The sequence below is a fragment of the Homo sapiens genome, chromosome 6 (genome assembly GCF_000001405.40).
Source record: "Homo sapiens chromosome 6, GRCh38.p14 Primary Assembly".
Taxonomy (NCBI): domain Eukaryota; kingdom Metazoa; phylum Chordata; class Mammalia; order Primates; family Hominidae; genus Homo; species Homo sapiens.
The window spans coordinates 84036223-84061240 of record NC_000006.12 but is presented as its reverse complement, the minus strand read 5'-3'; the positions used below and the strand labels follow the sequence as shown (position 1 = coordinate 84061240).

Below are 25018 nucleotides of genomic sequence, written 5' to 3'. Positions count from 1 at the left end.
GCAAAGCTTTATTCTAATTAAATTATGTATATGTAGCACTTTTTCCAAAGTGAAGAAATCAGATTAACAATTTACTCTGCATAATTCATACTTTCATCCTACATATACTATTGCCTAGAGGTTAACAATGTGTATTCAGCACTCTGAAAAACTAATGTGTCTAACCTTAAGTGCCAAAGAAATAGAAATTGTATACTTTGCCTTTTAATATAGTAGAAATGAGGCATAAAAAAAGACATAAGGGCCAGGCGCAGTGGCTCACGCCTGTAATCCCAGCACTTTGGGAGGCCGAGGCGGGCAGATCACGAGGTCAGGAGATCAAAACCATCCTGGCTAAGACAGTGAAACCCCGTCTCTACTAAAAATACAAAAAAAAAAAAAAAAAAAATTAGCCGGGTGTGGTGGCAGGCGCCTGTAGTCCCAGCTACTCGGGAGGCTGAGGCAGGAGAATGGCGTGAACCCGGCAGGTGGAGCTTGCAGTGAGCCAAGATCGCGCCACAGCACTGCAGCCTGGGTGACAGAGCAAGACTCCGTCTCAAAAAAAAAAAAAGATGTAAGGACAAATACCAAACACCACATGTACTGAGGTACAACTAACATGAAACAATTAAATCTCAACTATCTAGGCATGGACTGTGAAGAAACATTGTACAGATAAATAACAGTTCCCTACACTGTACTTTATCAACTGCCTGCATAGCAAAAGCAAATTCTAAAATTATACACCAATGCTATATTTAAGTCTTCGGTTTAGAATTGAATCATGTTGATTGACATTTTTCAAATCTGTGTATTAGGAAGGTGTTCTCCTAAGGACAGCTTTCACACTGCAAATGGTGGACTGACTCCCAGAGGTGGAGGAAAGCGTGCCCTCAACCCAGCCCAGTCCCCCTTCCCTCTGCCCTTCTAAGTACCCCCAGGGAGATAATCAAAAAGCAGCAATAATGTGAAGCATGGGAGGGTTACAGCCTTCAGAGAAGGCAGGTGGCGGCAGAGTTGGGGAGAGGCAGGCTGTGGGTAAAATCTGAGAATCCTCATGATCCAACAGCATTTCCAAACATTTCCTTAATAATGCGGCATCTATGTTTTTCATGGCAATATGCTTTAAGTAGCTCTGCTTATTCACATTTCCCTTTGAACAAAATTTAGCTTCCTCAAGTTATTTCCACTAATTTCCCCCAACCTCATCTTCTGCCCTATGACCCATCCCCAGGGGATTTTCTCACCCTGAGCCTCTTACAAGAAACATCAGAGATCCCCATCTCATCCCAGAAATATCCAAACTCTCCTGAAGTTTTATTCACATGTAAGTTTCATGGGCATAGGCACTACAGTAAGATGGGAAAAGTGGAGCCCGTTGTCTTCCCAAAAGCATCCTTTTCTGGGAAGAAGTCAGAATAAAGCTTTATACAGAGCAAAGCTCCAATGAGGCTAGATGGTTAAGAAAGTCAAAAGAAGCCTTCCAAACGAGTTTCCACCACCGCCAAGCTACCACACTCTGTCCTGTCTAGACACTGAGCTACTTAGAGACTACTATTGTAAAGGGGTAGAACAATTGCCCAGGGGAATTGCAAATGGAATGCGTCAGAATAAAGTAACCCCCCTTAACCTAACCTTTAATGAATGGAATGGAACAAGAGAGCTGAAAGTTGACATGATTTTTTTCCTTCCCAATCTAGGGTAGGACTAGGTTAACTACTCCATCCGACTCACCCTCCTCTCCACCTCCTGAGAATAAATGGTGAACTTTCCACTTCGTGGTTATATGAAAAACAAGGGTTAATACTTCACTTGAAAGAGAGGTTCATGACACTTTCCTCACACCACTTTTTGTTCCTAAGGCAGTAGGGCCAATTCTGTGATATGAATTCCTGGCAAAGAGCCAACAGTGATGTTCCCACACTTGTCTCTACTATCTTACTCCAAGCCTTTGCAAACTCTAGCTGTTTCTCATCCTAATGACCTGGCTTCTTGCTGACCCATCCATGCATGGGTCTGGTATCTGCAAGGTGGCACACGAAAAAGCATGAATTTGGCCACCACTGATAGCTCAAATTAAGAGGCTATTCCTTTAGTCTTTTCTCAACACAGCGGCCAGAGTGGTCCTGCTAAAATGTGATTGTCCACTCATTGACTCATCAGCTTTTGCTTCTGATGCTTTAAGAACACCCTGTCTCACCCAGCCACACTCTTCATAAATGACCCATTCCTCTCCTTCCCTTTATAGTGAGACACTTGAGAGATTTGTCTGTACATGCTGTCCCCAATTCCTCTCCTCTCATTTTTTCTTGAACCAATTCCATCAACCTTTTACCCCCAGCATTCCACTAAAACTGCTTTTCAAATCATTGCCAGTAACTTCTACATTATAAATCCAATGGTCAAATCTCAGTCTTCAATTAACTTGACCTAATAGCAGCATTTGACACAGACTGTCTTTGCAACCCTTTTTTCAGTTGGCGTCCAAAAAACCACAATTGTCCAGTTTTCTTCCTACTTTCTGTACATTCCTCTCAGGCACCTATGCTGCTATGCAACCCTCCAACTTCTAAACACAAGCGTGCCCAGGGCTCAGCATTGGACTCTTCAGTTTTCTGTCTACACTCACTTATCCAGCCTCTTGGCTTTGAACGCATACCGTTTACATGCTGATGACTCTCAAGTCTACGGCTTCCCCCGACACCTCTCCTCCCTTGTCCTCCTGGATATGTGATAGATGTCTCAATTTAACAGGTCCAAAACAGAGCTCCTGGGGTTCCTCTCTGAAACCTCCTTCTCCCATACTCTTCCCCCTCTCAGTTAAAGGCAATTCCATCCTGCCAGTTACTCAGGTCATAAATCTTCAAATCATTCTTGACTCTTCTTTCTCTTACACATACCGCCAATCCATTGACAAATCTTGCCAGATCCATCTTTTAAAAATATCCAGAATGTATGCATTTCTCACCACTTCACTCTCCCTACCTGGCTCCAAGCCACCATCATCAGCTGCCTGGACTATGGCAAAAGCCTCCTGAATGGTCTCTGCTTCTAATCTCATGCCTTTCACTCCGCAGTTGCAGAGTGATCTGTTGAAACCTAAGCCAGATGGCACTCCTCTGCTCCAGACCCTCCAGTGACTTCTCAGAGTAAAAGGCCAAACAAAGTCCTTAGCATGACCTCTAAGGCCCCCCCATGTCCTTGTCCCCACAGCCTCTTTGACTTCGTTTCCTGCTGTTCTGCCTCTTATCACTCCCCTGGTACCACGCTGGCCTCCTTGCATGATCCAGTTCACTCCCGCCAAGGATCCTTTTCTGGGATGTTCTTCCCCCAGATATATTATAGCTCAATCTCTCACTTCCTTCAGGTCTTTTATCAAATCTCTCCTTCTCAGTAAGGCTTTCGATGGCAATTCTATACTGTCGCCTCCACACTCCACATCCCTTTACCCCCACTCTATTTATCCTTTTATATTGCCATCTGACATTATCTATTTAACTATTTATTGTCTGTCTCTCCCACTAGAATGCAAGCTCTATACAAGGAAATATTTCTGTCTTTTCAGTTCACTGTTGTCTCTCCAGTGCTTAAAATAGTACTGCACATAACAGGTGCTCAATAAATATATATTGAATGAATGAATAAATAAATAGGTTTCCACTTTGTTGGTGCCAAATCTGTATCAGATACATGTCCACTTCTGATACATGATAAGGTTTAATATTGGATTCAAAACTGATGGCAAAAGAATTCTCAAGCACCATCTGAGGTTGCTTCTCAGATGAAACACCCTTTGAAGGTAGGAATCTTAATTTCAGCAGAGGAACTCAGTCTAAAGATGGAGCTATTGTTGCCAAGTGTGATCCATTACAGGTAAGGCAAATAAAGATAACTGTTATGGTCATTCCTGTCCGCAATGAGTGCTTCCCCTTGAAATGTCCTGCTTCTGTTCTTTTGAATCTGCATCTAATTAGCTTTGAATTTTGCCCAGCAAAACAAGGAGTCATACTTGAAGGTCAGAGTCACAGCATTTTTAAATGAAAGAGACTGTACCAGAGCACACATTTCAACAGTTGACTTGATCTTTTCACTTTCCTGTATATCTGGGGTTTTGTGTTTGTTTATTTTTTGTTCTCAATGTGTCGCATATATTTTCAGGTTCCTGAAGCTAAGGGCTGCTACTTATCAGCTCTCTTATATCAGAACAGTAAGTGCTCAGGCATTTTTGTTTTATCTTGACGTGAATATTAAAATTAACAAAAGCAATTGTTATTAATGGTATAGTAGGTAAAGTAAGTAAGTAAGGAATGAGTCACACCTCTGCCTATGTTTCTCATGAAGTTTTCCAGCTATAATTATTTCTAGAATGTAATATCCTCAAAAAATATTTTATTCAATTGTCTCTGGAAATGTACCAACCAAAATTACAGCAGCAGGCCTGTCTTCTGTGCTTCTTAAACTAAGGAAAAGAGATAGGAGCAAGCTGACACAAAAGTAAAGTTGATGTCACCAAGCAGTAAAAGCCCACATTTCAAGAAAATATGTGGCAATTTTCCCAGTCATTTTGATATCCACTATAATTCAGAACAAGCAATTGTCCTTACATAAAGGTTATCCTAGAAAAACAACATATTAAAGAATTTAAGTAAATTAAAGAAGGTGATTTCACACCCAACAGCCTTCTCTCAGATAATCAATGACAGCATACCTTGATAAATGCCATGTGCTTTTTTTCCACAAAGAAATACTGAGCAGATGTCAATAAAGGAATGAATGAAAGTATTTAATTATTACTACTCACTTAAGGGGTAAAGGACATATGGTTTAATTAATGATTTTTGCTAAAGGAACAAAAATAGAAAGCCCTTCTTGCAAAAGAGCACCAAGTTGGTGCAAGAGATCATGAATGCCAAGACAGGTCAGGATAGAAGCAGCCAGGAAATAATTAAAGGAACAAAAACACTTTCTTTGCTACATTTGTTTCTCTGATTCTAAGCCCTCTTATATTTCCTAATGTGTCCCACTAACCTGGACCAGTTAAGAGCATAAAAATTTTACAGTGCTGTGGATAATTCACTCTGACAAAAGTGAACATTTCAGGGATATTTACGGGGTTACCAAGACAGGATCTGAGACTGGGCAGCAGTTCCTGCCTACCATGTTAACTGTTAACTCTACCTAATGAAGCAAGGATGTTCCATGCTGGCCAGTCAGCATTCAGTTATGACTGGAGTTGAGTAGCAACGTCTCACAGAATTACATTTCCTTGCTCTGTGCTGGACCCTTAATTACTCCAATAGCATGAAACACAATTCATGCCTAGAACACAGTGTTAGAAATGATCGCAGGCTATTCTGGTCCATCATTATGAGCACACATGGATACACTGCTCTCCACAGCTCCAGGAAACCAACTGGGATGAAAAGATGCTGCTGTGTTACAAAAGAAGGTTCTTCAAATAACAGTTCCAGATCCTATTTTTATACATATTTTTGATAGTTCAAACATTCACAGTTTGGAGGAGCTAAAAAAGCAAATGCTTTTTAAAAATTCTCAATCTCAGCTTGACATTGATTCATGTTCTCCTACTATGGGAATTTTTTAGTCTTTCATCAATTAGAATCACCAAGGCCCTCCTGTACCATTCCTGAGCAATCAGCCTATGTGTGGAGGCGAGATGTTTTGTAGAATTTGGGAGGTAGAGGACAGAGAGTTCTGTAAAGAAGAAAGAATGCTCAGGAGAAGTAATCCTTGGGGATTTCACAGGTTAAGAGAAATACAATTATGCTTTCAATGAGGAATTGTATAAAACTTACATTTATGAGCCTTCAGTCCTTCAAAGGAAACTGGTCCAATCTCATAATATTCATATTCCCAGGTGTAATCAGAATTAGATGCCGATTGCTGGGAGGTTCTGTTAGAAATTAACCTCTGGGCGGACATCTCCGACCTGCACAAATGGAGAAAGTCAAGCGCAGAACCTGTTAATTCATCCAGAGCTGCACAGTTACCTTAATTACTCTTGATCGCATTCAGGAGTTTGGCAGCAAACCCCTTGAGGAGGTCTTACCTCCTAGGCCAGGAGAGGTTCTTACCAGCTGCTCACACCTCATATCATGTGGCCACTACTTCCTTTTCTCTTGCCACTAGAGTGGAATAATGTATTTGAAATCAGACACTGTATATTTTTTTGAACTTAACCCAATGCCTGGCACATAACAAATGTTCAGTAACTGATGAAGGAAAGAAGGAAAGGAGGGAAAGAGTATGTCAAAATCTCTGAGCTTACAGCTTCAGCCTCAGCACCTATACCTGCAAGAGTATGTAAAGAGCCTGCTGAAACTAGTTCATTGCTGATACTAATTTGATGTATTACTCAATCTCAGATTGACATTGATTTATGTTCCCCTATAAGGGAATTTTTTAGTCTTTCATCAATTAGAATCACCAAGGGCCTCCTGTACCATTCCCAAGCAATCAGCCTATGTGTGGAGGCGAGATGTTTTGTGGGATTTGGGAGGTAGAGGACAGAGAGTTCTGTAAGAAGAAAGAATGTTCAGGAGAAGTAATCAAATTAGTATCAGAAATGAACTAGCTCAGTAGGTATCCATTCAACACCTACTATGCAACAATGGAGATGAGCAACCTAAGGTTTTGTTTGTTTGCTTTTCTTGCTTCCAGTGGGTTTGGAGGAAACTAAGTTTAATAAAATGGAGTGAATAAAGAAAAACAGGCAGCAAAAGTTGCATAGTGGATCTTGCAGAAGATACTCAACAGAAGTCCACAACTTGTCCAACTGCTTACTCCTGAAATTTATGATATTTTCAGGATTTCCCAAGTATCTTTGTTAACTGTGACTATTTTAGACCAAAAAATCCTGACTTCTTTGGGAGAAGATGGTTGCACTGCGCAGCACGGATACCGAAGGTGATAAGTCAATGCAGCCTGTGTTCAATAACTGTGTTTGAGCACCTACTGTGTGCAAGACACCGCACACTGTGGGGTGGGCAGAGATGCCTGAGACAGATCAGTACTCCACAGACCTTCCCTTATAATGGAGAAAGGAAGACAAAGTGACAAATAGCAGTAACATAAGGGAAAATCTGAATGAAATGTCAGCGGTAACAAAGATTCACTGAGCAGTCACCAGTCATCTTGAGCTTCAAGATTCTTGAAGCAGCCCCACTTCAAGAGCTTTCTGAGGTTTCTTTCGCCCGCATCCGTCCCCACTGCCTCCAGGGCACAATCCTCAGGGAAGCTGAGGCAAAATCACCACCACCCTTCCACCCCACTTCTGCATCACTCTCCCCTTTCCCTTACCCCTTCTTTCCCATCCCAGACATGGACTCCACAAAAAAAGACTCCAACCCCACATCATCATACTGTTCAAAGGATGGGCCCAAAAAGCCTAAAATATTTACTTTCTGGTATTTTATAGAAAAAGTTTGCCAATCCCTGCTCTAGAGCCCTGAAAAATCTGAGCTTCAGTTTTCCCACTAGTAACATGAAGATGATTATAGTACCCACTTCATGGAGTTGCCATAAAAGTTAAATGTGATGTTGCATGAAAAATTAAGAAAAATATTAGCAGGCAGCACAACTATTATTAATTAGAAATGCTGATCTTGAATAGAAAAGCCTCGCTTTGTTCTTCAGACACACCCAACTCCCTGGTCAGCCAATTCTTATCAAATGCACCAAGTGTTAATTGATTGATTCAAGCAATCTACCTGCCTCAGCCTCCAGAGTGTTGGGATTACAACTGTGAGCCACGGTGCCTAGACAAATAAATAAAACTATGACAAAAAATTACTTAAAGGCATTTAGATCATTTAAAAGTTAAAATGATCAACATTTACATCCTGGGATTCATGCTATTCTACCAACTCAAAAATAAAATGATAATCTTTCTCTCCTTTTTTTATTAAGGAAAATAAGATGAAGTCTGGTTTGATCATATCATTTTTAGTAGAAATCAACATTACAGCTACTATAATAGCAGAGCAGAGGGAGGGACTAAACTTCATCTGGAATAGAAAAATAGGGAAAAGTACTTAAAGGAATAAAGAAAATAAAGATGGAGGGTGTCGTCTATTCAGCACACCACAGAACCGAGAGCTGTTCTCCCACGGCCACGCAGTTCTCAATGTCAGCACACGGTGGGGACCCCCATTTGTGGCTACCAGGTTCCACAAGACCAGTCAGAAAGCAGCAGTAACACCACCCTCATGGGGCCGGTCAGTGTGTAAGAGTTAACTGTAAGGAATATCAACCACCCACCCTACAATAGAGACATGCCTTCTTTTACTCCCCCTTACACTATTCCCTTTCATCTAAACGAACTATTTAGGGATGGATTACTAAAGGGCATTACCAAAGGGTAATGAAAGCTACATGTGCAAAAGTCCTGAAGGTGGGAAGAGAGGAGCAAAGCTCTGACAAACACTGAGAGACAAGAATGAGTGAATACCAGAGCCAGCCTACAGGAGGTTCTCATTCTGCAGAATGAAATGTGACACCAGCTCTCCCCAGGCAGCCACCAGTTGCCTGGGTAGCCTTCAAACAAAAGGAGGGGCATTTGTCTCCACTGCCTCTTTCCTCTCACTTCTTGAATCCCAAAGATAGCTTTGGAGGACAGAACCTCTGACCTCTTCTTTAAAGCAGTCACCTAGTGCCCTTGAAAAAGTCCACAAGGCATTATTTTTTCATGCAAGCCTCAAATTAATCAGCTTAGGCCATCAGATGCACAAAGACCAACAACAAACATACGGCAGTGCTAGGGAAGTGTTCTGTGTTGTCCCCATTACCAAGCCCAGCAATGACTCTCCAAGCTTTGCTGAAACATAAGCTGGGAACTGCCAGCATGTCCAAGTAGCAGCCCCCAGAGTCTGCTATTCCCGCCACAGTGTGCATGATCTCGGCCACCCACGCAGTGAGGGAGGCAGCCTGGCCCTGAGCCTCACTCCCTGGGGTGCTGACAGGCCGGCAGCTGCTCTCTCTTGAACACAACAGCAGGAAGCGGCAGCTCCACGGGCAGCTGCTCTCTGTATGGCTGCCACTCCTGAGAACCACCCTCTCCGCACCGAGATTTTCTTAATGTCAGATTTCTTCATAAAATTAGAGTCATGAAAAATAACTTCTTTGACAGGAAACATATCCTAAACAAGCTTCCAGGAGCATGAGGGAGAGACTAAATTGCTCTTTTGAACAGCTGAAAGCATCACTGCCAACAAAAGCAAAAATGAAGATTAGGACTGCATCCGAAAGCTAGCCCTGAAAGGAAGCTTACCTTTTCCAGGTGTGCACAGGGTAGTGTGGCCCAGGCCAGCCCATTGTTGGGGAAGACGGGAGATCACAAACCCAAACAGAGAAAGCGTGGTGAGCAGGCCCAGACACCTCTCATTAAACCATCACCCCTTCTCCAACCCACATTCCCATCACTTTCATCCCTTCTTTGGACTATCCAATCTTTCCTGCTCCAACCCAGGTTCCCACACCACTCCTGGGCACTCTCTTTTCCTCCCCGCTCCCCTTTTTTTGAGACAAGGTCTTACTCTATTGCCCAGGTAGGAATGCGATGGTATGATCACAGTTCACTGCAGCATTGACCTCCCTGGCTGAAACGATCCTCCTGCCCCAGCCTCCCAAAGTGCTGAGATTACATGCATGAGCCACCACACCTGGCCTCTTTTCCTTCTTTTATTTTGAGGCGAGTCTTGCTCTGTCACCCAGGCTGGAGTGCAGTGGTGCAATCTCTGCTCACTGCCACCTCTGCCTCCTGAGTTCAAGTGATTCTCCCGCCTCAGCCTCCCAAGAAACTGGGACTCCAGGCACATGCCACCAGATCCAGCTAATTTTTGTATTTTTGGTGTAGACAGGGTTTTGCCATGCTGGCCAGGCTGGTCTACAAACTCCTGACCTCAGGTGATCTGCCTGCCTGGGCCTTCTAAAGTGCTGGGATTATAGGTGTAGTCACCGTGCCCAGTCCTCTCTACCTTCTTAAAAATGGATCAAGCAATTCTCTCCACCTCCCTGAATTTGAGGAGATGTACTCAGACATAGAACTTCTCAAAGAGTGAATAAATGTCTTTGTGTCAATATCCCTGGTGGATTACGATGGTATGCATGTTAAGGGGGCTGCTTCTTTGGAGTTAGACACTTTTTTTCCATGTTAAGGGGTAAACATCAGCAGATGAGTTTTACAAGTGACCACCAACCCAGGCACAGGACTAGCACATTAAGAAGAAATCCAAAAGGTGCCAGAAACCCTGAAAAATGAGCATGCCCCCACACAAACATGCACACAACTGACAGCACAGCTACTAAGGCATTCCAAGAAACTGCCAGCCAGTGCCACAAATCCAAAGACCTATGCTGACCAGTTTGTACAGGGGAAGACCTAATGGCCAGTCAGATGATCAAAGTTCCCAATTGCAATGACTCTCTCACCTTCCTCTTCAATCCTCAAACTCCAAAAGTAGGCATGCCACCCAGGACCACCAACCTCTGATCTGGCCCAGGCCAGAAAGGTCTTTTCAGTTACCTGTTCTTATCCTTCTTCCTCTTACTTCCAGGAATGACTGTCCCCCGCACAACATAGAGAAGTCACCCTTGTGACTCATAACGCTGTCTTTCCTCCAGCAAGGAGACTTGAGAAACCAAAGATAAAGCTCAGACACGCTGCACTTTGGTGGCTGATGAGCCCAAGGTGGGAACTTCAGAATCGCAACTTTAGAAGCTTAATTTCCTCCTTGCACAGAACAATGGTGCACCCAGCTTACTCGTGCCTAGGGTAGGGCCACACAGAAAATGAGAGACTTCAAGGTTATGAATCACACTCTGAGCCAGCTGGATCTTCTTAAAGCATCTCTATAAGGCAATGCCTCCCAGCAAGGGATCATGCTTGACCCTCTCAAAGCTGCCACAGTGTCCTCCCAGGGCAGTACTTTAAAAAAACAGTAACATGGTGTTATTCTCAAGTTTACTTCTGCTTTTTATAGAGTCTGCGTGAACCATCACCTTCTACTGGCACTTCCCACTTAATTCCCAGGTCTGCTGATTCTTTTTCTGTGAATCCATTTTAAGTCAGTGATGTCTTTCCTGGGGCGTGGATTTTTCTCTCCTCCAATTAAAGAAAAAAGGTCATGCTTCCAGGACTTTGTAGTCTTCTCCTCCTCACGACTATTTTGACTCGAGTATGACTCTTACTTTTGAAGTCTGATGCTCTGGCCACTCAATTCAGTCTAGAGACATTACACGCACGTACACACACACACACATGAATGCACGCACGCTGGGCTCTTCGTTTTCAAATGGACATACTTCCCACATTTTTCTACACTGCCAAGTTTTATGCCATTCTCTAGTGTATCCTAGAAAGTACTCAATTACCCAGCAGTCCTCAAAAAATGGTGACTGACAGCTAACAAGAGAATTCAGGATGTATCTATTTCCTGCCTATCCCCCCTTCTCCTGTGCACATAAGCAACTTGTTTCCAGCAGCAAGACAGCTAACCAAAAGTGTTCCCAAGCCTGAAGACTTCTTCCATCTTAACATAAAAATCAATGCCAATAGAAGATCAACTTCCAAAAACAGAAATGGGACTTAATATTTTACACTGATAGATATTCAGTCACCACCTGAAATAAAGAATTGCTTAATTAAGAAGTGGGCACCCTTATTTCACCAGCTGGTGTCTCAAAGGGGACAAGCAGTTTGGATTCATAAATCTACATCTTCCTGTTATGCCCTGGGCACCTATATAGTAGTAAACAGGCTAGTAAGTTTTTTGTTGTTGTTGTTGTTGTTTTGTTTGTTTTTTGTGTGTTTTTTTTCTGAGATGGAGTCTCCCTCTGTCACCCAGGCTGAAGTGCAGTGGTGTAATCTTGGCTCACTGCAACCTCCGCCTCCTGGGTTCAAGCGATTCTCCTGCCTCAGCTTCCCTAGTAGCTGAGATTACAGGTGTGCACCACCATGCCTGGCTAAGTTTTGTGCTTTTAGTAGAGAAGGGGTTTCACCACACTGGCAAGGTTGGTCTCAAACTCCTGACCTCAGGCGATCCGACTGCCTCTGCCTCCCAAAGTGCTGGGATTACAGACATGAGCCACCGCACCCAGCCAGAAGTAATTTTTAAAGTGAGTGTTTCCTGGCTCTGTAGTACTCCACAGACTAGTCCCATTCTAATAGACTTCAGCTGGACATCAAGAATTTCATGTTACACACCAGGAAAGAAGCTGTAAAGTCTCCATCTGGAGAAAATTTCCAGAGAAGAGAAGAGGCATGGCCCTGAGATGCGACTGCACCTCCGCCCCTGGCTCTACAGATTCAGGGAGCTGAATTTTCAGTTTTCCAGAGATGAGAAAGCCCTTATGGACTCAGTCATGCTAATCAAGCATAGCAGAATGATTTATAATGAGCATATCCATTTGTTGAATTAGGAAAACAATGGCCAAGCTGACCACAGCACATGTTTTACGTGGTCTGGGAAACAAAATTTAAGATCAGAAGATTAGCTGGTGAATGTAGAATCAGGACAAGGGAGTTATAATAATACGACAAAACAGGACCCTAATGCTCCATCCCACTACATGTGTGTCAACGTGTTAGACTGCCATCCTTTATTCCAGTGTCAATGGTTGCCACCACAACATGCTATCATGGTTGAGTTGGGTTCCCCATCACAGGAAAGGCATAGGCTTAACTCTCGCCTTTTCTAGACCTTGCTTTTCTTGGTCTGTACTTCAAAAAATTCTAGGCAAGTTGAGGGCATCAGTAGAATACCAAGCCAGCCACTTTTATTATAGTTAGGTTTTCTGGGTTCCCATGACTATTTTATTTTTGCTCTATTTCTAAACTGTTAGGAAAAGCATGCTTTAAATTACTAGTGTCAAGTCAAAGAATCAACTATCAAAAAGAAATGCTTCATAATGAGATACCACTACACACCCTATTAAGATGGCAATTATCAAAAATCAGAAAATAAGTGTTGGTGAGGGTATAGAGAAACTGGAACCCTTGTGCACTGCTGGTAGGAAGGTAAAAAGGTACAGCCGCTGTGGAAGACAGTATAGCAGTTTCTCAAAAATTTAAACATGGAATAACCATATGATATAGCAATTCTAACTCTGGATATATATACAAAAGAACCACAAGCAGAGACTTGAACAGATATTCATACACACCTATGTTCATAACAGTATTATTTACAATAGCCAAAAGGTCAAAACAACCCAAGTGTCTAATCACAGATGAATGATAAATAAAATGTTGTATATACAATGCAATATTAAGCCTTAAAAAGCAATGAAGTTCTGAAACATGCCACAACATTGATGAACGTTGAAAACATTATGCTAAATGAAATAAGCCAGTTACAAAGGGACAAATATTGCATGATTCTACATATATGAGGGTACCTAGAATAGCCAGATTCCTAGAGACAGCAAGTATTGGGTTGGTGCAAACATAATTGTGGTTTTTGCAAATACTTTTAACGGCAAAAACCATGATTACTTTTGCACCAACCTAATAGAATGGTGGTTATCAGGAGCTAAGGGTAGGGAAATGGGAAATTGTTATTTACCAGTAAAAGAGTTTCAGTTTGAGATAATGAAAAAGTTCTGGAAATGGATAGTTGTAATGGTTGTACAACAATGTAAATATATTTAATGCCACTGAACTGTACATTCAAAAATGGTACATTTTATATTATGCGTTTTTAACCAAAATACAAAAAAGTTCTAATATTGTTTATAGTTTTTTTTTTTTTAGGCTAGGCTTGGTGGATCATGCCTGTAATCCCAGTACTTTGGGAAGCCAAGGCAGGTGGATTGCTTTGAGTCCAGGAGTTCGAGACCAGCCTGGTCAACCTGGCAAAACCCCGTCTCTACTAAAAATACAAAAATTAGCTGGGCATGGTGGTGCATGCCTGTAATCCTAGCTACTTGAAAGGCTGAGGCACAAGAATTGCTTGAACCTGGGAGGCAGAGACTGCAGTGAGCTGAGATCATGCCACTGCACTCCAGCTTGGGTGACAGAGCAAAATCCTGTCTCAAAAAGTAATTAATTAATTAATTAAATAATACAAATAATTTAAAAAATAATAATAATAAGCAGTGCTTCCAAATCACAGCACTTGAGGGGAGGGTAATGAGAACTCTCTAAAGCAAAAGAGAACCCCAGAGGATGACAGGGTGCTGAGACATCTGAGCACCCCTCCCTGTGTGGATCCTTCCTCCCTGGTCCACCTTCAAGGATCCAGCTTTGCTCTTTTCAGCAGCCCTGTGGGGATTCCCTTTCAAGTAAAAGGAACACTCCCTCTAAGCTGTGAGGAATCATCCCTTTCAACCCCTGACAGAGTCATAGACAGGTGGGAGAATATGTGTGCTTTGCCAGCTCATGGTCCTCTCACCCTGACCAGTCCTGGAAACACACTAGCCACTTCCCAAATTCTCCTTTTTTTTTTTTTTTTTTTTTTTTTTGAGATGGAGTTTCGCTCTGTTGCCCAGGCTGGAGTGCAGTGGCGTGATCTCAGCTCACTGCAACCTCCACCTCCTGGGTTCAAGTGATTCTTCTGCCTCAGCCTCCTGAGTAGCTGAGACAACAGGCACGTGCCACCACGCCCAACTAACTTTTTCTACTTTTAGCAGAGATGGGGTTTCACCATGTTAGCCAGGATGATCTCCATCTCCTGACCTGGTGATCTGCCTGCCTTGGCCTCCCAAAGTGCTGGGATTACAGACATGAGCCACCGCACCCAGCCAAATTCTCCTTTTTATAAGCTTTACCTTCTGTTGTACCTGTCATTAGCCCAATTCATTTCAGGAGAAGTGCACTACAAATTATCATTCCAAAGCTTTCAGGTCCTTCTCATGGATTACATTGAAAATTAGCAGCTTCCCAACGACAAAAAGGAAGCACCCTAATTTCATTAAACTGGTTCCATCCAGTCTCTGGGGAATGTTTTCTAGAGACCAGCCAGTTTTCATGGACCTGGAATACAGAGTTTCCAGCATTTTTATTTTGCAAAGTAAAGAAAATTTTAAAAAAACAACTATTATTAACAATTATCATTTTGTAGACAGTTATCTTAAACACCCTCTAAGTAGAGAAGATATAATTTCACAATAAAGGCAGTCCTCTGCAAGACAGGAGGGCTAGCAGTCTGACATCAATATTTTCACAGCAAGCAGACACTTCCATGGCGGTTCACATCACACTGCCTCTGTCTACTGCATTCACATGAGAGCTACCTATTATGGCTGAAATACTCACCCCCTTTACAAACAAAGGAAAAGAACCAGAAGGGATGTAGTGAAAGTCCTTCCAGATCTATGATTCTGTAACTTAACGAAATACCAAGTTGCTTTTCACTTGTATTACAAACTCAGTGGTCTCTATCTATTTGTATTATGGGTGTGTATGTGTGTTCACATGCATGTGAAAGCACACATGTGAACATACACATTGTGTGTGTGTGTCTGTATATACTTTTTTTTTTATGAGACAGTCTTGCTCCTCACACAGGCTGGAGTGCAGTGGCGTGATCTCAGCTCAATGCAACCTCTGCCTCCTGGGTTCAAGCCATTCTCATGCTTCAGCCTCCTGAGTAGCTGGGATTACAGACGTGCACTACCACGCCCAGCTAATTTTTGTATTTTTAGGAGAGACGGGGTTTCACCATGTTGGCCAGGCTGGTCTCAAACTCCTGGCCTCAAGCGATTCACCCACCCTGGCCTCCCAAAGTGCTAGAATCACAGGTGTAAGCCACTGTGCCCAGCCTGTGTGTATATTTTTTTTTTTCAGGCTTCTTCATTTTCAATGAAGGGTGACGGCTGGGGGCAGGTCATTCGTGGAGGTGGCTCCAGAGCACAGAGGTCTTGGGGGCAGGCTTGCCTACTCCAGGGCCTTCATAAGGGTTTCAGTGCAGATTTGGATCTCTGCCCTCGCAGCCTCATCAGCTGTACCTGACAGCTCCACCAACACCTTATTCAAGTTCATCTTGGCTGCCCGATGTCCAGCATGTCCAGCGTCACTATCATCATTCATTGTGTATATATATAAAGTCATTCCTTAGCATCTGTGGGGGCTTGGTTCCAGGACCTCTCAGATACCAAAATCCAGAGATTCTCAAGTCCCTAGTATAAAATGGTGTAGTATTTGCATAGAACCTATGCACAGCCTCTGGTATACTTTAAATAATCTCTAGATTACTTATAATACCTAATACAATATAAATGCTATGTAAATAGTTGCTATCCTGTATTATTAAGGAAATAAATTACAAGGAAAAAAAGTCTGTGCATGTTCAGAATCCTTTTTTTGTTCAAATCTAGTCAACTATCCTTTTCTTGTTTAAATATTTTCCATCCACAATTGGCTAAATCCATGGATGTGGAACCCACGGGTGTGGAGCCCCGACTGTACTACAATGTGAATAAGGTGCCGTATGTACTGAATTGTGTCCCCACACCCAACATCCATATGTTGAAGCCCTAGCACCCAGTATCTCAGAATGTGACTGTATTTGGACATAGGGCCTTTAAAGGGGTAATTAAGTTAAAATGAGGCCCTCATTCATTCTGAAGAATATCTTCATAAGAAGAGGAGATTAGGACACAGAGAGAAAGGCATCAGGGGAGCCCATGCACAGAGGGACAACTGTGTGAAGAGGCAACAAGAGGGCAGCGGCTACAAGCCAAGGAGGGAGGCCTGGAGCAGAGCTTCCCTTATGGCCATCAGAGGAAACCTACATGTGACCAGCACCTTGATCTTGGACTTCCAGTCCCCAGAACTGTGAGAAAATAAATTCCTTTGGGAGGCCAAAGCAGGTGGATCACCTGAGGTCGGGAGTTCAAGACCAGCCTGACCAACATGGAGAAACCTCGTCTCTACTAAAAATACAAAAATTAGCCAGGTGTGGTGGCGCATGCCTTTAATCCCAGCTACTTGGGAGGCTTAGGCAGGAGAATCACTTGAACCTGGGAGGCGGAGGTGGCGGTGAGCTGAGATCATGCCATTGCACTCCAGCCTGGGCAACAAGAGCGAAACTCTGTCTCAAAAAAAGAAAACAGAAAATAAACTCCTGCAGGTTAAGCTACCCAGTCTGTGGTATTTTGTTATGGCAGCCCGAGGAAATTCATATAGGTGCTGAAACTAATTTGGAGAAAACAATGTTCTCTTTGGTAAACTAATTAAACTGTCCTAGGAAGTCCATTAAAAATGACTTACTTTGTACCAATCACTCTAACTATAACTAAAAAAAAATACATTTTTGAAAAGAAAACATTTACAAAATGTCATTAATCTATCCCACTACATGCCGTCTTCAGCAAACACATCTACTAAGTTCTCATAAATATGCCCTTCACAGAGAAAGAGCACTAGTTTTGAACACAGTAAAATTATTATGAGTCCATTCAGATCAACAAGGATATTTTAAACACTGTTACTTAACCATGAAAGATTTAGTAGAGGTCAAAAATTCAAGGACTGTGGACTGTGCTCTTAAAGAATTCAGGCTTGTATTTCAAACTATCCTCTGCCACACAATGAACTTCATTCTTTCAAATACACCCACCCACCCACTCACCCCACACCCCTCACCCCCCCATACACACACAGCTTGAGGGACAACACAAAAGCCTGAAGACATAGACAGTAGAAACAACAGGGTCATTAAAAAAGGGAGGGCTCATGATGGTACAGGAACCTGCAGCGGGGGAACCCTCAAAATGGTCCTCTGAGCTTTTGCCCATTCAGTTCCACCTGCAAGCTGGACTTCCTCTCCCTCCTTTCCAGATTCCTGTCTACCCTTGAGGGTAGGGATCAGATACTACCTCCTCCAAGTAGATCTCTCCAACTATTTCACTACATTGAGGATCTCTCTCTTCTCTTAAATCCCATTATGTGGATTATCTGAATCTCTCATTTTAGTAGCAAGAAAGTATACATCAGACTCCCCAAAGACTAGACTTGGCCTCTCACTGAGTCCTCATACTGTTTTATATAGCTGCTATTCTAAAACGGCCTGACTAGGTGAATTAAAACTTTAAAGATTTTAAACTTTCAAATTAGACCATTTTAAGAATACCAGGGAATCAACCACTCTTTAAGTTCTAATTAGTGGAGTTATTGAAAGAGTTGGCAGAATAAGACTAAGAAGAGAGACTGGCCGTGTCTTAAATCACTGTGAGGATGACTTGCCAAACAAGACTACTTTGTATTTTTGGCTTGTGGTATCTGTCTCCAAACAGCACACACCATATCACACACTATTTATTATGGTCCTGAGCTGAACCATTCTTTTAGCAAACAAGTGAAAAGGAGAGGTACCAGGTATTTCCAGCTCTGTTCCACAGAAATGGAAATGTAAGTTAAAGCAGTGGTTTATTTAAGAGCTTGAGACACAGCAGTAGAAAAGCTGAACGTTCTAATGACCATCTTATCTTCTGAGGCCTGGGCTCTTAAACTAGGATGTGTGGCTCTTGTGGTTTCTCCACCTACTGCACCCACTGCAACCTCAGGACAATCAATTACAAGCAAACCAGAGTTTGGGGTGCAAGGGCAGTGCAGGCTCAAGGCACCCCATAGCCTCCTCATCTTTCAGGGAGGGGCCTGGCCAGAAAAGAGGGGCTTTATAAAGTGAGGGCAAGAATATAGTGTCCCTCAGCTTGCCAAGGTCTAAGGGTCCCAAATAGTCCCCAGAGTCTCAGGGCATACCTGGTTCATCTTCCTGGAGCATCAATAATACAAGACCTGGAGGATTATGTTTTATATTAAATAAGTGCAGATATGTTACAGAGTAAACTGTAAGAACCAAATAAATGTTTGCTCCTGCCACCTTTGGCCTCTGCTTCAGAATCCTAGAAATAAGGATTAACCCTCCTCTCCCATTGGGATAATTCAGTGGAAGTTTTTAGTCCATTCTCATACTGCTAATAAAGACATACCTGAGACTGGGTAATTTATAAAGAAAAGAGGTTTAATTGATTCACAGTTCAATATGGCTAAGAAGGCCTCAGGAAACTTACAGTCATGGTGGAAAGGGAAGCAAACACATCCTTCTTCACATGGCGGCAGCAAGAAGTGTGAGCAAAAGGGGGAAAGCCCCTTATAAAACCATCAGCTCTCATGAGAACTCACTCACTATCAGGAGAACAGCATGGGGATAACTGCCCCCATGATTCAATTACCTCCCACCAGGTCCCTCCCACAACACATGGGGATTATGAGCACTACAGTTCAAGATGAGACGGGTGGGGACACAAAACCTAACCATATCATTACACTCTTGGCCCCTCCCAAATCTCATATCCTCACATTTCAAAACACAATCATGCCTTCTCAACAGTTCCCCAAAGTCTTAACTCATTCCAGCATTAACTCAAAAGTCCAAGTCCAAAGTCTCACCTGAGACAAGGCAACTCCTGCCTATCAGTCTGTAAAATAAAAAACAAGTTAGTTACTTCCTAGATACAATGGGGGTACAGGCATTGGGTAAATACAACTGTTCCAAATGGGAGAAATTGGCCAAAACAAAGGGGCTACAGGCCCCATGCAAGTCTGAAATCCAATAAAGCAGTAATTAAATCTTAAAGCTCTGAAATAATCTCCTTTGGCTCTATATCTCACATTCAGGTCATGCTTATGCAAGAGGTGGGCTCCCATAGCCTTGGGCAGCTTCACCCCTGTGGCTTTGTAGGGTACAGCCCCCTCCTGGCGCCTTCACAGCTGGCATTGAGTGTCTGTGGCTTTTCCAGGTGCACGGGGCAAGCTATCAGTGGATCCACCATTCTGGCGACTGGAGGACAGTGGCCCTCTTCTCAGAACTCCACTAGGCAGTGCCCCACTGAAGACTGTGTGTGAGGGCTCTGACTCCACATTCCCTTTCTGCGTTGCCCTAACAGAGGTTCTCCATGAGGGCTCTGTCCCTGCAGCACACTTCTGGCTGGACATCCAGGCATTTCTATATATCCTCTGTAATCTAGGTGGAGGTTCCCAAACCTCAATTCTTGACCTCTGTTTACCCATAGGCTCAACACCAAATGGAAGCTGCCAAGGCTTGGGGCTTAAACCCTTTGAAACTACAGCCTGAGCTATACCTTGGCCCCTTTGTATGCCTTGGCCCCTTTTAGCCATGGCTGCAATGACTAGGATGCAGGGCACCAAGTCTCTAGACTGCACGCAGCAGGGGGGGCCTGAACCCAGCCCACAAAACCATTTTTTCTTCCTAGGCCTCCAGGCCATGGGTGGGAGGAGCTGCTACAAAGGTCTCCGACATGCCCTGGAGACATTTTCCCCTTTGTCTTGGCAATCAACATTTAGCTCCTTGTTACTTATGCAAATTTCTGCAGCTGGCTTGAATTTCTCCCAGAAAATGAGTTTTTCTTTTCTACCACATTGTCAGGTTGCAAATTTTCCAAAACTTTTATGCTCTGTCACCTCTTGAACACTTTGCTGCTTAGGAATTTCTTCTACCAGACACCCTAAATCATCTCTCTGATGATCCACAGATCTCTAGGGCAGGGTAAAATGTCACCAGTCTCTTTACTAAACCATAGCAAGAGTCACCTTTGCTCCAGTTACCAACAAATTCCTCATCTCTATCTGAGACCACCTCAGCCTGGACTTCATTGTCCATATCACTATCAGTATTTGGTCAAAGCCATTCAGCAAGTCTCTAGGAAGTTCCAAACTTTCCCACATTTTCCTGTCTTCTTCTGAGCCCTCTACATCTCCAGGAAATTCCAAACTTGCCCACATTTTCCTGTCTTCTTCTGAGCCTTCCAAACTGTTCCAACCTCTGCCCATTACCCAGTTCCAAAGTCGCTTCCACATTTTCTGGTATCTTTAATAGTAACTCCCCACTACCTCAGTACCAATTTATGGTGTTAGTCCATTCTCATGCTGCCAATAAAGACATACCTGAGACTGGGTAATTTACAAAGGAAAGAGGTTTAATTGACTCACAGCTCCGCAGGGCTAGGGAGGCCTCAGGAAACTTACAATCATGGCAGAAGGGGAAGCAAACACATCCTTCTTTACATAGCGGCAGCAAGGAGAAGTCAGAGTGAAGAGAGGGAAAGCCTCTTATGAAACCATCAGTCTCATGAAAACTCATGAAGGCAACCAACCCCCTGATTCAATTACCTCCCAGTGGGTCCCTCCCACGACACATGGGGATTATGGGAATTCAGTTCAAGATGAGATTTAGGCGGGGACACAGCCAAATCATATCACACTGGTAGGAATATGGTGTAGGTTTTATATTAGATAGTTGATCTTAAATTTGTTTCTTTCTCTCTCGTTTCTTTTTTTCCCCACAGAAGATAGAATTATATTTCCTGAAATAATCTATACAAAGGTTTGTAGAAAGACAGAAAACGTTTACAACCACATTCTCTCACTCAGCTCCTAATTTTTCTCTCTTGTTAAACCAGGCAACTTCAAAACTAATCCTTAAGAAGCCCCTCCCTCAGCCTGCTCTGCCTTCCAGTGATTGTTATTTTTGCTATTACCAAGAACATGCAAGAGGAAAACAAATGCACCTTGCAGGAGAATTATTTGAAGCTTACAAACTATTTTCACTTGAAGGGTTATGAAATTTTACTAACGTTCTCTAGTGAGGCAAAAATTACACAGGTCTTGATAACAGAAACACGAGCAACAATTAAACTCAGATTTTAACATATATAATTTTAGCATCTCATAAAGCTAGTCTCAACTTCTGCTTTTTTACTTCATATCTCAACAATACTATAAGGGACTGCAGAATCATGATTGCAAGGAAAATGCACAGTTTCCACCTCTCCAATAGGACTAAGCACTTCTCATACTCCAGTCAAGCAAAAAAATCACTTTGTACCCTGACATGAAGCAAAAATAACATGATCATCCTGCCTGAAAGTTGGTCTCCAAAATAAAACTTCAAACACATCTCATTCCCTTAAAGAAATAATTTTTTCCCTTGATTGTTTGCTATGCTGATGTCTGAAAACAAGTCACGACTTTTAGGAATAGATAATTGTGTAAGAAAGTTGTTTTTAGTCATGAACAACAGACTAATGTAAATGGAGAACTTTGGTAATTTGGTGGAATATTTTCTTTCAAGTATTTATTGTGATTTTATTTGATGAGCCAGTCTTATAAAGCCTGACTCCCTTGCACTCTGGGGAAGTAAACATTTTCTTTCCTTTTCTAACTGCTTCTGCCTCTAAGTCTTCCTTTGTCAAAAGTAAATGTAACAATAAACACAGATTGCTACTCTACTTAATTTTAACCCAAGCATATGTTACCTACTCTGAGCTAGCACAACTTGTGGGGCCTGCTCAAATGTCAACTGTATTTTGGTTTTCTATTGCGCCTCAAAATACACTCAAGGGATTCATCTTCCCTGCCCTCAAACAAATACTTGAGTAGATCCCATGATGTTTCTGCTCATGCAACAACTTCAAAGTCCCAAAAGAGGCCAGTCACAGTGGCTCACAATTGTAATCCTAGCACTTTGGGATGTGGAGGCAGGAGGATCACTTGAGCCCAGGAATGCAAGACCAGCCTGGGCAACATAGCAAAACCACGTCTCTACAAAAAAAGTTTTTTTAATTAGCTGGGCATGGTGTTCTGTGCCTGTAGTCCCAGCTACTTGAGAGACTGAGATGGGAGGATCACTTAAGCCCAAGAGGTTGAGGCTGCAGTGAGCTGTGATCATGCCACTGCACTCCAGCCTGGGCAACAGACAGAGTGAGACTTTGTCTCAAATGAATAAATAAATAAATAAGAAATATAAAAACCTAAAAGAATTAAAATGTCTAATCTTTGGAAACAAAAGAAACTCTGACCCATTATAACACAAATCTGCCCTATTTCTGCAATGTCCTGCTGCATGCTGGTCTCCTGCTGGGGTTGGGGGAAGGTAAACTTCTTTTCTATTTCTCCACCATCCACTCAACTGCTAGCTAGTTTCACATCACTCCAAGACCAAAGCAGGAGGAAAGGACTGAATTAACTATCTTCATACCTCACATGGGTGTGTTAGTAATACTCACCTTCCTTCAGCTGGCTGCTCATTCCTACTTCTGCTGCCAGGGGCCCTCGCCCTTAGGCCAGCCCTTCCTCCCATGTGGCCCCACCTGGCTCCCAGATCATCTTCAGACATCCTTTGCCCAACAAACTCTGGGAAGGTGAGTGATCCAGCCACCTAGGCCCCTGTGTGAGCCCCAAATGCAAGAAGCACATGGACAGCTCAACTCACCCTCAAATGGCCCCACTGAGAGGTGACAACATGCTAGCAGCCCTCGCTCACTCTCAGCACCTCCTCAGCAGTGTCTGCTCCGGCCATGCTTGAGGAGTCCTTCAGCACACCGCTGCACTGTGGGAGCCCCTCTCTGGGCTGGCCGAGGCTGGAGCTGGCTCCCTCTGCTTGCGGGGAGGTGTGGAGGGAGAGAGAGGGGCAGGAACCCGGGCTGGCCAGCGTGAGTTCTAGGTGGGCGCAGACTCAGTGGGCCCCACCAGCCCTGGGCAGTGAGGGGCTTAGCACCCAGGCCAGCAGCTGCAGAGGGGGCGCCAGGTCCCCCAGCACTGCCAGCCTGCCTGCGCCGCACTCAAATTCTCACCGGGCCTCAGCCGCCTCCCTGTGGGGCAGAGCTCAGGACCTGCAGCCCGCCATGCCAGAGCCCAGCCCCCCACCCCGTGGTGGGCTCCCGCACTGCCCGAGCCTCCCCAACGGGCGCCGCCCCCTGCTCCATGGCGCCTGGTCCCATCAACCGCCCAAGGGCTGAGGAGTGCAGGCTTGTGGCATGGGACTGGTGGGCAGCTCCGCCCATGGCCCTGGCGTGGGATCCACTAGGCAAAGCCAGCTGGGCTCCTGAATCAGGTGGGGACTTGGAGAACTTTTATGTCTAGTTGGAGGATTGTATATGCACCAATCAGCACTCTGTGTCTAGCTCGGGGTTCGTGGATGCACCAATCAGCACTCTGTATCTAGCTAATCTGGTGGGGACTTGGAGAACTTTTATGTCTAGCTAAAGGATTGTAAACACACCAGTCAGCACTCTGTGTCTAGCTCAAGGTTTGTAATCACACCAATCAACACTCTGTGTCTAGCTCAAGGTTTGTAAACGCAACAATCAGTGCTCTGTGTCTAGCTAATCTAGTGGGGACTTAGAGAACTTTTATGTCTAGCTGGAGGATTGTAAATACACCAATCAGCACTCTTTGTCTAGCTCGGGGTTCTTGGATGCACCAATCAGCCCTCTGTGTCTAGCTCAAGGTTTGTAAATGCACCAATCAGCACCCTGTGTCTAGCTCAAAGTTTGTAAATGCACCAATCAGTGCTCTGTGTCTAGTTAATCTAGTGGGGACTTGGAGAACTTTTTTGTCTAGCTGGAGGATTGTAAATACACCAATCAGCACTCTGTGTCTAGCTCAGGGATTGTAAATGCACTAATCAGCACCCTGTCAAAACGGACCAATCAGCTCTCTGTGAAACAGACCAATCAGTTCTCTGTAAAGTAGACCAATCAGCAGGATGTGGGTGGGGTCAGATAAAGGAATAAAAGCAGGCTACTGGAGCCAGCAGTGGTAAGGCGCTCAGGTCCCCTTCCACACTGTGGAAGCTTTGGTCTTTCCCTCTTTGCAATAAATCTTGCTGCTGCTCACTCTTTGGGTCTGCACTGCCTTTATGAGCTGTAACACTCACCGTGAAGGTCTGCAGCTTCACTCCTGAAGCCAGCGAGACCACAAACCCACCAGAAGGAAGAAACTCCAAACACGTCCGAACATCAGAAGGAGCAAACTCAGAACACACCATCTTTAAGAACTGTTAACACTCACCGCAAGGGTCCGTGGCTTCATTCTTGAAGTCAGTGAGACCAAGAACCCACCAATTTCAGATACACCATCACTAGCTTTGGGATGAAGGAAGTAAATCTATTCAACAAGGCCTCCTTGCTCAACCCTCATATTATTTTTCATTTTGTTTATTAAAACATTTCTTCATATTCCTTTGCATGATGAACCCTCATACTCTTGAAGTAACCA

At 43.6% G+C, this 25018-nt stretch overlaps 1 protein-coding gene across 8 annotated transcripts in view, besides 1 other annotated feature; it reads right to left on the bottom strand.

Moving 5' to 3' along the window:
- The window catches only part of MRAP2 (melanocortin 2 receptor accessory protein 2), a 113105-nt gene that overhangs the window by 85042 nt on the left and 3045 nt on the right, over positions 1 to 25018 (bottom strand). For 7 of the 8 annotated variants that reach the window (XM_017010220.2, XM_017010221.3, XM_047418132.1 and 4 more), the window contains exon 2: positions 5796 to 5929. In XM_017010220.2, the coding sequence (XP_016865709.1) occupies positions 5796 to 5922 (127 nt within the window). In that variant the 5' untranslated portion in view covers positions 5923 to 5929. Of the gene's footprint in view, positions 1 to 5795; positions 5930 to 10522; positions 10767 to 25018 lie in introns of all 8 variants that reach the window. The other variant, NM_001346542.2, reaches the window with a different exon arrangement.
- Positions 7615 to 9467: an enhancer, noted in NCBI's record as "VISTA enhancer hs2063". NCBI's record gives its function as "enhancer in: hindbrain (rhombencephalon)[3/7] | somite[6/7]" and the evidence as "EXISTENCE:transgenic organism evidence [ECO:0001131][PMID:17130149]".